Below are 15,594 nucleotides of genomic sequence, written 5' to 3'. Positions count from 1 at the left end.
TTTTTCCTTAGGGAGGAGAGGTGGTGGGGAAGGGAATAGAACTGTCCCAGAAACGGCTGGATGTGTTGAGTAATTAGAGGTGAGTAATATGGAACCACACTTTATGCTCATCTAATCCCAGAGAATTCTGAGAAACCATTTCCCTCCCATCCTAAATGGTAAAATTTCTGGCATATTGCAAATAACAGCATCTTTAAATAAAACCATGTCATTAATCTTTAAAATGTAGCCAATGGAATCTAAGTACCATAGCAATTTTGAACCTGTCACTGGCCACTTGAAAACCCCACAGACTAGTTTTGATCCAAAGGAGATTTTCGCTTGAGCCCGGGAGACCGAGGTTGCAGTGAACCAAGATCATGCCACTGCACTCCAGCCTGGGCGACAGAGTGAGATCTCGTCTCAAAAAAACCAAAAAGCAAAAAACATAAAAAAACAAAAATCAACCCACAAAAGGAGATTTTATGTTTCTTCTTTCTCTTTGACCTTGAATTTCCATTCCACTATCTGCACAGAATTCTAACCTAATGCAGTACATTTTTAGGCATGAATCATGCTTTTTCTGATTTTATTGATCAACCTGTTATAATTCTCTGCAACAAACACATGTATCTAAATTTAAAAGGTAAGAGTCCTGTGACCACAAGCTCTTTAAGTGATAAAACTCTATCGATTGAGCCATTATTGCAGTTATTATTACACAATTGATCAATATAACAATATGTATTACACAATTTTTGATAATTTTTAAACTAAAAAATAAAGTTGTATTGGATATTTATCTTTTAATAACATGAAGTGGAGGGTTTTTTCCCCAATTGGCTCATGTATCCATGGATGAATATTACTTGTTGATAGAATGAGACAGAGTTTGTCATTAATTCTTACTCATATAATAGATACAAATGGAAGGAGTTTTACTTTTATGGCTACATCACTCAATTCTGTGAACTCTGAGTTCACTTAGTTATCCATCATCAAAATTGTTAACGATCTACTAGCTTATTTGATTCTTTTTCAATGTTGTTAAAAGAAAAATATTCGAAACCACCTGACCACAAAAGGATTTATTACTTGCCTATTTAGAGTGAGTCATGTTCTCACCAGCTATACCAATATTTTGAATCACCTCTTTGTTCAGAGCCCAGAGGTTACTAACTTGATGCTAGTGAAAATTATATCTTTCTTTCATAGATTAGAAGAAGGTTGTGTTCTCAGGGAGATCAGTTTAAGGAAAGAGTGCTTATGGATGTGGAGTTTCTTAAAATTGACTTTCTTAAATGTATCACTGCGGCTGGGAGCGGTGGTTCACGCCTGTAATCCCAGCACTTTGGGAGGCCAAGGCGGGTAGGATCACCTGAGGTCAGGAGTTTGAGACCAGCCTGGCCAACATGGCAAAACCCCATCTCTACTAAAAATACAAAAAATTAGCTGGGCATGGTGGTGGGAGCCTGTAGTCCCAGCTACTTGGGAGGCTGAGGCAGAAGAATCACTTGAACTCAGGAGGCAGAGGTTGCAGTGAGCCAAGATCGCACCATTGTACTCCAGTCTGGGAGACAAAGTGAGATTCTGTCTCAAAAACAACAACAAAAAAAGCATCACTGCATATACTCCTTGGACAGTGAGTTTGCATACTCTAGTTTGAAGATCAAAAAGCTCTGGAATTAGTCTGGTTAATGCTCCTAATTCCGAACCTCAGTTTTGTCATCTGCAGAATAGAAATAATAACAATAATCTTTGGGCTTGTCTGCAGGCTTGAATGAGGTAATGGAGTAAAAGTGTTTTGTAAACTCAAATTCTATGTCAGTGTTATGTACTGTTGTTTTCATGCTAACAATCCTAGTTTAATGATTAAATTAATGATTAAGTGGTCATGTACATAAGTGATGTCAGTCCCTGGAATAAAGAGACCTTGTTAGCAAGCTCAAAACCCTGGTCTCCTGAACTTCAAACAATAAAATAAAGAATAGGTGCATGGATAGCTCTGACACTGGATACCACTGGTTCTTAAAGTGTGGCGCTTATATCAGCAGAGTGAGTATCACCTGGGGTTGTGTTAGAGATGCAAATTCCCTGGTTCCATCCAGACCACTGGAATCAGAAATGGTGGGGTGAGACCTGGCAACCTCTGTGTGTGTGTGTTTAATATTTTGTTTGTTTTTTGAGACAGGGTCTCACACTGTTGTCCAGGCTGGAGGGCAATGACACAATCATAGTTCACCGAAGCCTCTAACTCCTGGGCTCAAGCATCTTTCCACCTCAGCCTCCTGAGTAGCTAGGATGACAGGTATGAGCTGCCACCCCCAGCTAATTATTATTATTATTATTTTTTCTGTAGAGACAGGGTCTTGTCATATTGCCCAGACTGGTCTTGAACTCCTGGACTCAAGCGATCCTCCTGCCTCAATCTCCCAAAGCGCTGGGATTACAGGCATGAGCCACCATGCCTGGACACAACCTGTGCTTTGATGAGCCCTGCAGGTGACTCTATTGCATGCCAAAGTCTGAAAACATGGCTGCCGTGATGCTTTGTTTTATGTGTGGGGAACCCTACAATGTTTCTCAGAATAGTGAGTGACTTGAATAATAATGCATGACATAAGAGGAAGCATTTAAAGGGAATCAGTTCTGAATCAACATGCTACTACATTTCCCTAGATGTGGGAAATGCTCCTGATGCACATGCTGTGGTAACTGCAGTGGGTCGGGGAAACAATAGGACCCCAGGAATGGAGGTGTGGGGTCTACCTGGTAGTTTTCAGATCGTAAGTAACTTAAGAGCTCTCATAATACACAGCTGATGGCTGCCCTTCTTGTAGGCAAGGGCAAGAAGCCCTTTTAATCTTCTCTTTTATAAAAAGAGAATCACAAGAAAAAAAAACGTCCATTGAGATTTCAAGAGAAATTAATCTGTGCCCATCTGGCTACAAATAATTGGGTTTTGCTCTTGATGATATCGTTTTCTGCTTAGTACTGAGCCAGCATAGCCAGTGTAGCCTGTTCCTCCTTCACTCCAGGCTTCTAATGCTGACCCAGGAGCGGAGACCCTTCTCAGACAACCTCAATCAAGTGCAGATAGGCTGCTGTCAGTGGGGCAGGGGTGAACCCCAATCCATTATGACTCAAAGAGGAAGAGTGTCTCTAGCAGTTTTTCCAAGTGGACACATAGCACCTTTCCTCTAGTAAAACCTATTGGATGCATCTAGAACACGGGTGGAAAGCAGTGGCTCAGATGCTGTTTCCACAGAACGCTTATTCAGTGCAAATGAGGTAGCAACAACAACGTGAAATGACAGCAACAACAATAAACCACAGTGTGCCAAAGGAGAGAGGCAAGATTTCAGTCAGGACATTGCTGAGAGCCCTAATGTCCTATTTTAAAAATATAAAGTATTTTTTTGGTTTAAAACACATGTAGGAAACAAAAATCAAGTTAAATAATAGCAATGTTAGGTATTTTATTTAATTTACCAGTTAGGTTTGAACTTTTCTTCATCATATTTTAAAAAAAGCAGGACGCGCAATAAAAGAACAGCCAGAATGACATGGAGAAGAGAGTGAGGCAAAGATGGAGCACCTGCCAACATTTCTTTACCAAGGCAGTAACCCTCGAAACTTGGGTACACAATGAAGAATTAAGGTCTTCAATTATTTGAATTTCACACCTGATTTCTATGTTGTGGAGGAGTGACTTTGAGAGAGAACTGAAAGATCATTCCACAAAGCAAACGTTCAGAATAAAACGTTCCCATTGAGGGGTAATGTTAAGCCAATACCATGGAAAAATCTCATTACCAGGATTGTGGCACAAAATTGAGCTGCTGTATGGTTGACTGAGTCAGAGACTCTGAAGATTTATATACCCCATGGCTCTGCAGAGTCTTCGATTGGGTCTCGCTCAGTGCTGCCACTGACGCCGCACAAAAACACAGCCATGCGCATCAGCAACACACACCTACCTGCCATCATTTTCATCATAGCAGAGGGAGGCAATGATATCCTCACACTATCTTTTCATGTTAAAGAGAAACCTGTACAAATGGACATCTTAATGACAAGATGAATATATTTTCAGTATATTTTTGTTAAATATATTAATTATAGAATTAGTCATCTTACTAACCAAATAAAAGCAGCTGCTGGTATTAACACAATTATTCAAAAGCCTCAAATCTTATTAAAATGCTACCCAAATTGGCTTTAAATTACAGTGCTACAATATTTTCCAAAGCCAATGTTGAATATTTAATGGATAATGGGACTGCATCATGCATCTTTCCAATTTACTTCACATGGTCTTTTTTTAAACTTTGTGACTATGGGGAGATGTAAAATTGATAAACATTTTACATCTAGCATCAGGCATTTCTTGTTTGAATGCATTAAAATAAACAATGGGCTCTAGAGTAAACAAAATCTACTACAGAACCACCCACTTAACATTTTCATAAACTCAGAAGTGCTGCTAATTGCTTGCAATCAGCTTTAAATCACAAGATATGATAGAAGCAGCTCTTGGAGAACTTCTGTGTGTATACTTCCAACTGTGTCCCTCAAAGAGAGACTATCCAAGTCTTTTCTCCTTGTCTCTTTATAGGGGATCTAGAATTTTACTTTTCTTCCAGGTTTATTAAGGATATAAATATTTTTAAAAAACTGATTGCTATTTTCTCTGAATGGTCCAGTTGCAACCACAGCATCACCACACTCCTCCTAATAATACCCACCCTTTTCTCTCAACACAGGAACTTCTGGCTAATTCTTTTCATTCAGTCATTCAAAAATTGTTCACTGAGGCCAGGCGTGGTGGCTCACATGTGTAATTCCAGCACTTTGGGAGACCAAGGCAGGTGGATCACTTGAGGTCAGGAGTTCCAGACCAGCTTGGCCAACATGGTGAAATCCTGTCTCTACTAAAAATACAAAAATTAGCTGGGCGTGGTGGTGCATGCTTGTAATCCCAGCTACTTTGGAGGCTGAGGTGGGAGGATGACTTGGACTCAGGAGGTGGAGGTTGCAGTGAGCCAAGATCGCACCACTGCACTCCAGCCTGGGTGACAGAGCAAGGCCGTCTCAAAAAAAAAAAAAAATCACTGAGCACCTACTATGTGCAGGGCACTGGGCTAGAAAGATGGCTGCTGTTATGGGCTGAACTTAGTCCCCTCCAAATTTATATATTGAAGCCCTAACCCCCAGTACCTCAGATCTATATTGGATACAGGGCTTTTAAAGAGGCAATTAAGCTAAAATGGGTTCATTAAGGTGGGCCTGAATTCAATACGACTGGTGTCCTTATAAGAAGAGCAGATTAGGACACAGAAAACAGAGAAATGACCATGTGAGAACACAGCAAGAAGGCAACCATCTAAAAGCCAGGGAAAGAGGCCTCAGAAGAAACCAAACCTGCCAACCCCTTGATCTCAGATTTCTAGCTTCCATATTTGTGAGAAAATGAATTTCTGCAGTTGAAGCCACCCAGTCTGTGGCACTTTGTTATGGCAGCCCTAGCAAACTAACATAGCTGCCTATGAACATGTGTGCTATGCATTTGAGGGGTTCTAGATGATGCTCGTGGCAGGCCAAAGTACACAATAGTGTGTTCTTCCATTAAGAATATTTCCAGTTTTGCAGCATTTTAATGGCAAATAGGACATGCATATAACTTGATCATTAGCAGCTCTGAACCAAAAACTCTCCAGGTTTTGGGCAATTAATTTCTTTCCTTCATTACGGCCTTGCTTATTCTCTTTCAGTCACCTAATAATCACTGTCATCAAATACCTTGCCAGGTGAGGAAGGGATGGCTGAGAGCTGACTTTTGCATGCCTTATTATTTATTTATGAAATATTAGCATGCATGTAATCTTATATTGTCAAATTTAATCTCAGAAGCTAATGATATGGCATTGTAGAGGCTTTGGTTGGGGCAACTGTTTTCTGTTTTAATACAAAAAGAAAGACTACTTTTGGTCCACAATTGTTAAAAACTTTGACTTAAATTCAAAATTCAAGTGCACAGATTTTCTTCCCAATAGATTGTTAGAATTACCCTAGTTCCCCGATGTTGTATTACCCTCCCCTTGGCATTTGATATTCGCTCCTGTGTGCCAATGCACAGCAACTGGAAGAAAGAACAGGCATTACCAGCAGTAATAATTCATAATCTGAAATGAACACACAGATAATAAATAATCACGTTGCAGGAGAAAATAAGCTGTACTCAGTAAACAATGTTTTTTCTATTTCTCATTCACACTTCACAGTATCCACTTCAATCCCTAGATATGGAAAGGGAAAGTTGGTTTTAAGTGAGTGACAGCTACAGATGAATAAAGCATGAACAGGAAGCATACAAATAATCACAGCATATGGCCACGGGAAAGCATTATTCAATTAAAAGTACCTGTAAGTGTTTAGCATCCCATCTGTTGCACACGGCAGGTCATAAGACACAATCATTGTTCTGGCTCAGTTATTTCCTCTCCTCTGTAGCATTTGCTAAGGTCAATACAGCACTGTGATCCTTAGTTAGTCCTTCTTCAAGGTGTGTCCGCCTCACTGGCCCCTGTCTTACCAATTAGGGAACTAGGACACTCTGGGGCTAAAAGATTTTGAGTTTCTAATCTTTAATCTCTGGTTCTTCAATTTCCATTCTGTAAAGGTCATCAATACATCTCTCAGCACATATATCATTCCTAATCATTTCTTTGATAGTTTCAGAGGAAAAGCAAAGATGCCACCTGAATCTCTTCGTACCTCCACCCATACCATCCATCCATGGCTTCCATTTCTGTGAGTATTCCACTAACTTAGGCCCCAGATTCTTTTCACTTTAGAGTTGACACAAGAAGGGGCGTTAGTGTGGAAAAAGCAAGCATGTATGCATGTTAATGGGTGCATGTGTATATGTAGGGTAGGGGAGGGTGACAGAGGTGGGGACACTGAGTCTTAGTGTCTATGGGGAGGGAAGCAGCACCACTATGTCTTGCTTTGCTGGGCATAATTTTTCCCTCTTCCCTTTTTAACCTGATTTTCTAAGAAGAATTTCTCTTCTGCTGTGTGTGTGAGTGTGAGTGTGAGTGTGAGTGTGTGTGTTGCTATTTAGGATTTGTGCTGTGTGGACCCAGAAGGTGCCTACTTACACAGTTACAAACAAGTCAGAGATTTTCCTCCTGAAAGGACTTAACTGACCAATTGTTTTAATGGTCCACAGCTACTGAAAAAATGTCTAGCTGCCTGTCAGAGTTAGGTCTTCAGCAATAAATAAGACAGTCCACTGGACAGGAGGAACATAAGTCTAGGTTAACTCTGAAGGCACAAATAAACAATTATTCAAGACAATCACTTATATGTTACCGATAATCACTTATTTTTCTATTTAGATAAATACTGAGAACTTTTAACTTGCATCCTGGTTTCTTAGTGCCAGTAATTTTGACAAAGGTAACCGCAGACCCACAGGCCTTATGATAAAAATGAATGAATACTCAGGAATATGGAAAGATGACAACTCACACTGGCCCTTAAAAATTTGAATAAAAGGTATTGTCTTTTTTTTCCCACATGGTGATTCCCCTAACTCCCAGGAGTCCTCAGGATGAAATCACAGGGCTAGGAACTTGACATTTCCTGATGGTGATGGGTACATTGTAAGCAAACTTAAAAGATAAATATATGTCCTTCAGAATCCCCCAACCATAATCTCTATATGCTGGAAAAAAAACCTTCTATATCCTGTTTATACCCTTTAACACACACACACACACACACACACACATACACACACACACACACACACACACTCCCCTGCCTCAATAGATGGAACTAGAGTTCCTGTTTTAGTTTATACTGCAGTGTTTTAGTGGGCCATTTACTGAATTGTCTTCTTTGATTAATCACATCTCTCTTCCTGGCTCCAATAATTCCATCCTTTAAGTATCTTTAGATCAGATGCCCATAAATCACACGAAATGCCCCAAGCCAGCTGCAATTCGCTCCCAATTTCAATTAGCATATAGAGTTAACAGCTGTCATTGGTGGAGACTGCAGTAACTAGAAGAACCTCAGCTGACCAGACATTAAAACTGGACCACGGCCTTAGAATCCAGTCTACTCACAATATTTAAAATATCAAAAACTCTTAAACCAAGGACATCAATACATTTTTGAACTTATAAAAAAAGTATTGAGCTTAGGTTGATCTGATTGTCTCTTGTAGGCTCCCATAAAAGTGGCTTCCTGCTTATTAAGTCTGATCGTGTTTTCTTAGCTCACATCTCCTTGGACTCTTCAGAATCATTTGCCACTGGTGACTTTTGCATGAACTGAGCTTCTATCTTCATCCCTGGTCCTTGCCCCATCCTGGAACCCCTTCCACAGCCTGTTTCTCCATTCTAGCAGGGCTAGTCCTTCCTCTTCCTCTTCCTCCAAGTCTTGGCCATTTCATTCATTCATTCATTCATTCCTACAAAATTTATTGGGAATCTGGCATTGAGGAATTAACAGTGACAGCTCCTGGCCACATGAAGTTTATAAACTCGGGGGAAATGCAAATATAAATATATAGAGAGCAATTGAAACATAGAAGGGCAAACTGAAGATGGTAGACATACAGGGTACTCTGGGATCTTACACTTGAGGGGAACTAACCCAATTTGGGGGTACCATGGAAGATTTCCTAGAAAAGCTGACATATAAATTGAGTCCTAAAGAAAGAGACAGTTCCTGTCAGGAAGAGGTTGTGTACAAAGGCAGTATTCAGACTTTGACTCTCTTCTTTATATGATCTCTTCATGAATGTATTCACTTCCCCACATTTATACACCTCATCTATTCTGTTAGACCTGGACTGCCTAGTACAATATGGCAGCCACTAGCCACTGGTATTGAGCCCTTGAAACATGGCTAGTGTGACTGAGAAACAGAATTAGGACTTTTATTAATTTTGATGAATTTAACTTGATTCAGTGATTCAAAAACCATTAAGTATGTTTGGATCAACTTGAATATGAACTGACATTTTGTAAACTTTATGGACTCTAAATATAGAACAAGGGTTTCCAATAAAAACTTGCATCTGAATTGAAATGCATTGTAAATGTAAACTACATACCAGATTTAAAGGATAATACCAAAGAAAGAATGTAAACTATCTCATTTTTATATTGATTACATGTTGAAATGACATTTTGGATATTTGTTGGGTTAAAATAAGGTAATTATAAGAACTAATGGTACATATTTCTTTTTACTGTTTGATGTGGTTACTAGAAATTTTAAATTACATTTGTGGCTCATGTTATATTTCTACTGGACAGCACTGGGCAAGACCAAAACTCTTTGAAGGCAGGAACTTGGTCTTACTCATCTTTTGCCTTGGCACCATGTTTTGTGTACAACAGGGGCTCTATAAATCATTTGTCAATTAAGCAAGATATCCTACATGTGGCCAGCCCCAATCCACACCAGAAATACTTCATTTGACATCTCATTCTGCTTTTTGAGAGCTTACCGTGTTTGGTTCTTTTCTAGGCCTGGGGACAGAGTAGTAAGTGAGACAAAGTCCTGCCCACATGGAGTTTCATTCTAACTGAAGATGCCATATTGAATGTGTGTTATAAATCAGTGTAAGGAGCTAGGGGCTTGGACTGAGAATGGGTGTGCTATTTTAGGTATTTTAGGTAGGGTGGGAAGGGATGGCCTCTCCAAGCCACAGAGAACTGAATGCAGAGAGAGGGCGGTCCCTGTGGATGTTTGAGAGAACATTTCAAACAGAGGGGACTACATGTGCAAATGCCCTGAGAGGGAAATGTTTTTGGCGTATTCAGAGCAGAGCAAGGCCAGTGTGGCTGCATGTGAGTTGGAGTGGGAGGATGTGAGGTAAGCCAGGACCTGATTGGGCACACCCAAGGAGGGCCCGGCCAGGACTTGAGGTTTACTTTCAAGTGTGATGAGGAGACACAGGGGGTCAAGAATAGGAAATGACAGAAGAGATCTAGATTTTTGAAGGACCACACTGGTTGTCTTGTTGAGAATAGACTGCGGGGCACGGCACAGAAGCAGAATCAAAGAGAGCAGGCAGGAGGCTTTGGCACCAGTCAGCAGTGACTTATTGAGCATCCAAGGGTGTATGCAGCAGGAAAATAAAATGAGATGTGTTCAGAATCCCACTGTGTATTTTACTACAAATTGAAAAAGATCCAGGAAAAGCCATCTTTTAAAAAAATCTCTCTTCCCAGTCAAAAGCATTATGGCAAGCCCAGAAGATGCTCATGTGGACTGCCTCTGTGCTCCCAGCTGCTGTCCTGCACTCAGCTGAAAAACCCTCAGAGGAAGTCTTTGAGTTATACCAGGAAATAAAATCCCCTCAATACGCATTTGTTGACTGTAGAACTAATCTGAGAGCGTTCTTGTGGAATCCTTTACTTGAGGTTTGTAAGTCCCTAGCAGATTAACTCTGTTTTTAGAAAACATACATTTTTTTTGATTCCATGCATTTCTGTAGTGCAAGTATATTATAGCTCTGTGTGTGCACAGCAACCATTTACTGAGCACTTGCTATGGTGCCTTGCCCCTCACCAACCTCTTTACATGGCTCATCTCATTTTATCCTAGTAATGACCTAACAAGTAGATGCCACTATCTTCGTTTTCTTTCTTTCTTTTCTTTTTGTCTTTTTTTTTTTTTTTTTTTTTTTTTTTTAGATGGGGTCTCGATCTGTTGCACAGGCTGGAGTGCAGTGGTGTGATCTTAGCTCACTGCGGCCTCAAACTCCCAGGCTCAAGGGATCCTCCCGCCTCAGCCTTCTGAGTAGCTGGGACTACTACTAATTTTTTAAATTTTTTGTAGATATGGGGTCTTGTTATGCTGTCCAGGCTAGTCTTGAACTCCTGACCTCAAGCAGTCCTCCCACCTCAGGCTCCTAAAGTGCTGAGATTACAGGCGTGAGCTACCACACCTGGCATCATCTTCGTTTTCTTGATGAAGAAACAAAATGCTCCAAGATTATGCAGATGGTCAGTGCAGAGAATGGCTTCAAGTCAGACACACCTGGATTTTAACTCTAGCCCTGTACCCACTATCTGTGTGACCTCGCAGCATTTTGTTTCTGTACCAATAAAACAAAACATGTCTCACTTGAAGCCATGAGGCCAGCGTTTTTTAAAGTGTGGTTCCTAAACCACCTACATAAGAATCACCAGGGTTCCTTATTAAAAGTGCAAACTGGGCTGGGCGCATTGGTTCATGCCTGTAATCACAGCACTTTGGGAGGCCGAGGTGGGCAGATCATGAGGTCAAGAGATTGAGACCGGAGCAGTGTGAAGAAGAGGCGAGAACGACCCCCGGTCCGACCAAAGCCCGCGCGCCGCTGCGTCCCGCGTCCAGCACCTATGTCCCGCTGCCGTCGCTGCCGCCACCATGCCCAAGAGAAAGGCTGAAGGGGATGCTAAGGGAGATAAAGCCAAGGTGAAGGACGAACCACAGAGAAGATCCGCGAGGTTGTCTGCTAAACCTGCTCCTCCAAAGCCAGAGCCCACGCCTAAAAGGCCCCTGCAAAGAAGGGAGAGAAGGTACCCAAAGGGAAAAAGGGAAAAGCTGATGCTGGCAAGGAGGGAAATAACCCTGCAGGAAATGGAGATGCCAAAACAGACCAGGCGCAGAAAGCTGAAGGTGCTGGAGATGCCAAGTGAAGTGTGTGCATTTTTGATAACTGTGTACTTCTGGTGACTGTACAGTTTGAAATACTATTTTTTATCAAGTTTTATAAAAATGCAGAATTTTGTTTTATTTTATTTTATTTTTTTTAAAGCTATGTTGTTAGCACATAGAACACTTCATTGTTGTTTTTGGGGGAAGGGGCATATGTCGCTAATAGAATGTCTCCAAAGCTGGATTGATGTGGAGAAAACACCTTTCCCTTCTAGTTTTGAGAGACTTCCTCTTGGCTTCCAGGAGGAGGGATTCCCTGACTTTGACACACATGGCCACCTTGGCACAAAAGCCTTGTGGTATAGAAAAACAAATTTGTTTTTATGTCCTCGTCTCCCTTTCCCTCTTTCAGCATAGACTTAACTCCCTTAAGCCCAGACATCTGTTGGGACCTGACCCCTAGTCATTGGTTACCAGTGTGTTAGGCAATCTGGACTTTCCAGTGATGCCACTGAGATGGCACCTGTCAAAAGAGCAGTGGTTCTGTTTCTAGATTATGGATCTTCAGATAAATTCTGCCATTTTCATTTAACTTCCTGAAAGTCAGGGTCGGCTTGTGAAAAGTTGTTAAACAACATGCTAAATGTGAAATGTCAACCCTCACTCTAAACTTTCCCTGTTCAGAGCATCAGATGAAGACTTCATTGGGTTTTATAGTGGCTTTCTGATTTTTGGTAGTCCATTGAAGAAGGGAGTTTGAAAGTTGTTGTATACTGTTAACGATTGTCTGCCCATGTCCTGCCTGAAATACCATGATTGTTTATGGAAAGTATCTTTAATAAAGCTGGATACAGTTTGGCTTGGGAAAAAAAAAAAAAAAAAGAGATTGAGACCATCCTGGACAACATGGTGAAACCCCGTCTCTACTAAAAATACAAAAATTAGCTGGGTGTGGTGGCGTGCGCTTGTAGTCCCAGCTACTCGGGAGGCTGAGGCAGGAGAATCGCTTGAACCTGGGAGGTGGAGGTTGCAGTGAGCTGAGATCACGCCACTGCCACTGCAACCTGGGTGACAGAGTGAGACTCCATCTCAAAAAAAAGTGGAAATGGGGTGGGATCTGGGAGTTTGTATTTTTAATAATAGTGGATCTAATCAATGATAAATATTTATCTGGCATCTGCCTGTAGTGTCATAACTAGGATTAATATACTTCAAAAAATTGGTCATTTTATATTTACATTACTTTTCTGAGGCATTTGGAGCCTCGTGAAATTCTGTGTTTTGAGGTGGTGTCTTAGTTTGGTTTCCCCAAATGGAGCCTGAGACAGGGACTTGTGTGCAGGTGGTTTACTTGAGAGGTGAACCCAGAGCACAGGTGGAAGGATCAGAGAGACTGAGAGAGGAAAGGAGGAAAAGCATATAAAGAGTGTATAACAGAACTGCTTACTGCTAGGAACAAGAGGGACTCAATCCCACTTGGGGACCCTCTAAGGAACCATGTAGAATGTGTCACAGATGGTTCCTCCAGAGGACAATTATCCACTGCCTTCTGTTGTCTTTTAGTTGAGGGTTGATTCCTAGTTAGTTACTTCCCCTGCACTTCGAGGCTGAGTCTGTGTGGGGATGAGAGGTCTTTGGAGAGAGCCCTGAGGCAGAAAATCGGAGACCCTAAGGGGATGCTTGGGGTAAAATGTTGGTAATGTACACACTACTGTTTACACAGCTACACTGATATCAGGGGACAGGTGATGTGTCAAAATACATCTGCTTTAAGCAGAAGTTATCACACAACTGCTGTGTAATTATTACTTGCCACATTTGGGGTAGGGGTGTGGGAATGCAGTCTCCCTTGGCTGGCACTGAACCAACACTATGTTCTCCCTCACACGTGCCACAATTTTATGCTGTAGGGGTGCCACCAAAACAAATAGTAGGCATTAGATTCTTCTCTTTTGCTTTCACATTCTTCATCTTTCAAGATTTCAAAGAAAAAGGGCACAATATTTGATGAATGGTGCAGAATAAAAAGCATAAGAAAGGAAAAGGAACAAAAACACCAACATCTTAGCTTAAGACAGGGAGGAAAATATTTTTTCTGACTTCTTTCCAACACAAAATCATGTTGCAAAGAAGGGAAGCAGATAGCCCTCCTGGGAGTTGGGCATTTGTGACAGCTAGCCTCCAAGATGCCCCTAGCGATCCACATCACCTGGGATTCATACATTAATGAATTGTGGCTAGCATGGGTGGCAACAGAATGCTGTAGAAGTGACAGTGTGTGACTTCCCAGGCTAGGTCAGGAAAGGCATTGCAGATTTTGCCTTAGTTACTCTTTGATCACTAGCTTGGGGTTAGGGGGTGCTAACCTTTAATAGTGAGGACACTCAAGCAGGGTGGAGAGGCCCATTTGGGGAGAGGCTCATGTGGAGATGAACCAACTTGCCAGGACCAACTTGGTAGCCAAGTGAGTAAGCCCCCTTGTAAGTGGATCCTTCAGCCTTAGATAAGTCTTCACATAATACTAGGCCCCCAGCCTTTAATACTGCCAGCAAAGACCCCAGGTATCATGCGGCAGAGACAAGCCATCTCCTCTGCACACTGTCTAAATTCCTGACCCAGAGAAACCATGAAATAATAAATGGTTATTGTTTTAAGCCACGGAGTTTTGGAGTGATTTGTTATGCAGCAATAGAGCACAAGTACAGCATTTATTTGCTCTGCTATCTCCTTTGATTCCACATGGAGAACTTATTCTTGACTGCTCAATGGACATGGCAGACTAAATATCATTCTGTCATTTCAAACATCACTATGTAAGGGTAAAGGAATAAAGAACAAGAACAAAGAAAACTGGAGAGGAGATAATGAGGGATGAGATCTCGACAAGATTTTGGAAGACAGCAAGCAGACAGAGGAAGAATAACTGGCTTAGTGGAGCCAAGGAAACTGTGGTGTCAGGACATACAGAAGTGGGGGGGAAGACTATTTATTCCCTAGGATCCCAAAAGGGTCAGATGTTGAAGGCACCAGATACTTAGGAGGATAGGAGTGAGACACAGGCTGAAAATAATGAAATTCATCGAAAACCTGTGAATGCAGTGGGCAGAACTTCAGACTTCTCCCCAGCCAAGCAATCAGAGGACTACCCTTCACTCATGTTGCAATAGTCTGGACTTGGGTAAATCAATCAGAAAGAAAATGAGTTAAGTGTGAGACTAAAAGTAGAGGATTTAAGTCAAAGTTTTCACCAGTGTGAATAGTGTGGCATTCCCCTCCACATCCTTCTCAGAACCCCAGGAGTCAGGCTTACTCCTCCAATATGGAAAATGAATTGTTCGTTTTCACAGAAAATAGTCTTCTAAAAAAGAGACAAATTCAAACAATTAGAGTACCTTTGGATTAAAAGGCTGCCTGCTGCTAGAACGCCTGACTGTGACACACCCTCACCCTCAACCCTAGTTGACAAGCTCCCCTTATTCAGTTTTCAGTCAGATTTTCCGTGCTTCGCTCTTAAATATTAATAGATAACTGAAGACTTTCAGGTACTAAGAGAGTGTCCAACATGAAAGAGAGACCAAAACAACAGAAAAAAAGAAACTCAGAAGGACAGACACTACAGGGAACAAAACGCGGATCACTCCCATCCCAAAACCTCATAGTCAATCCCTTAGAGATGTAGGAGAACATGATACAGCCATGAAACAATGAAAGGTTGGATTAAAAAGGGCAAAGAACATACACACATACACACACACACACATACACACACACCCCTCCTTAGAAATAAAAATATAGTAATAACAGAAATAAAAACTCAATAGAATGGTTGGAAGATATAAAGAAGCTCCTAGAAAGGAGAATAAAAAGACAAAGGGATGGATAATAGGAATGAGGAGATCAAAATATTAGAAAATGGATCCAGGTAGTTCAACACCCATTAGACGG

At 41.3% G+C, this 15,594-nt stretch overlaps 1 protein-coding gene and 1 pseudogene across 5 annotated transcripts in view; one reads left to right on the top strand and one right to left on the bottom strand.

Moving 5' to 3' along the window:
- The window catches only part of SV2C (synaptic vesicle glycoprotein 2C), a 506,476-nt gene that overhangs the window by 100,226 nt on the left and 390,656 nt on the right, over positions 1 to 15,594 (bottom strand). The gene's annotated exons all lie outside the window — the stretch shown is intronic.
- Positions 11,309 to 12,513, top strand: HMGN2P4 (high mobility group nucleosomal binding domain 2 pseudogene 4; annotated as a pseudogene).

Source organism: Homo sapiens, chromosome 5 (genome assembly GCF_000001405.40).
Source record: "Homo sapiens chromosome 5, GRCh38.p14 Primary Assembly".
NCBI lineage: Eukaryota > Metazoa > Chordata > Mammalia > Primates > Hominidae > Homo > Homo sapiens.
Note: the sequence above shows the minus strand (reverse complement) of the source record. Positions and strands in the feature narration are given on the sequence as shown.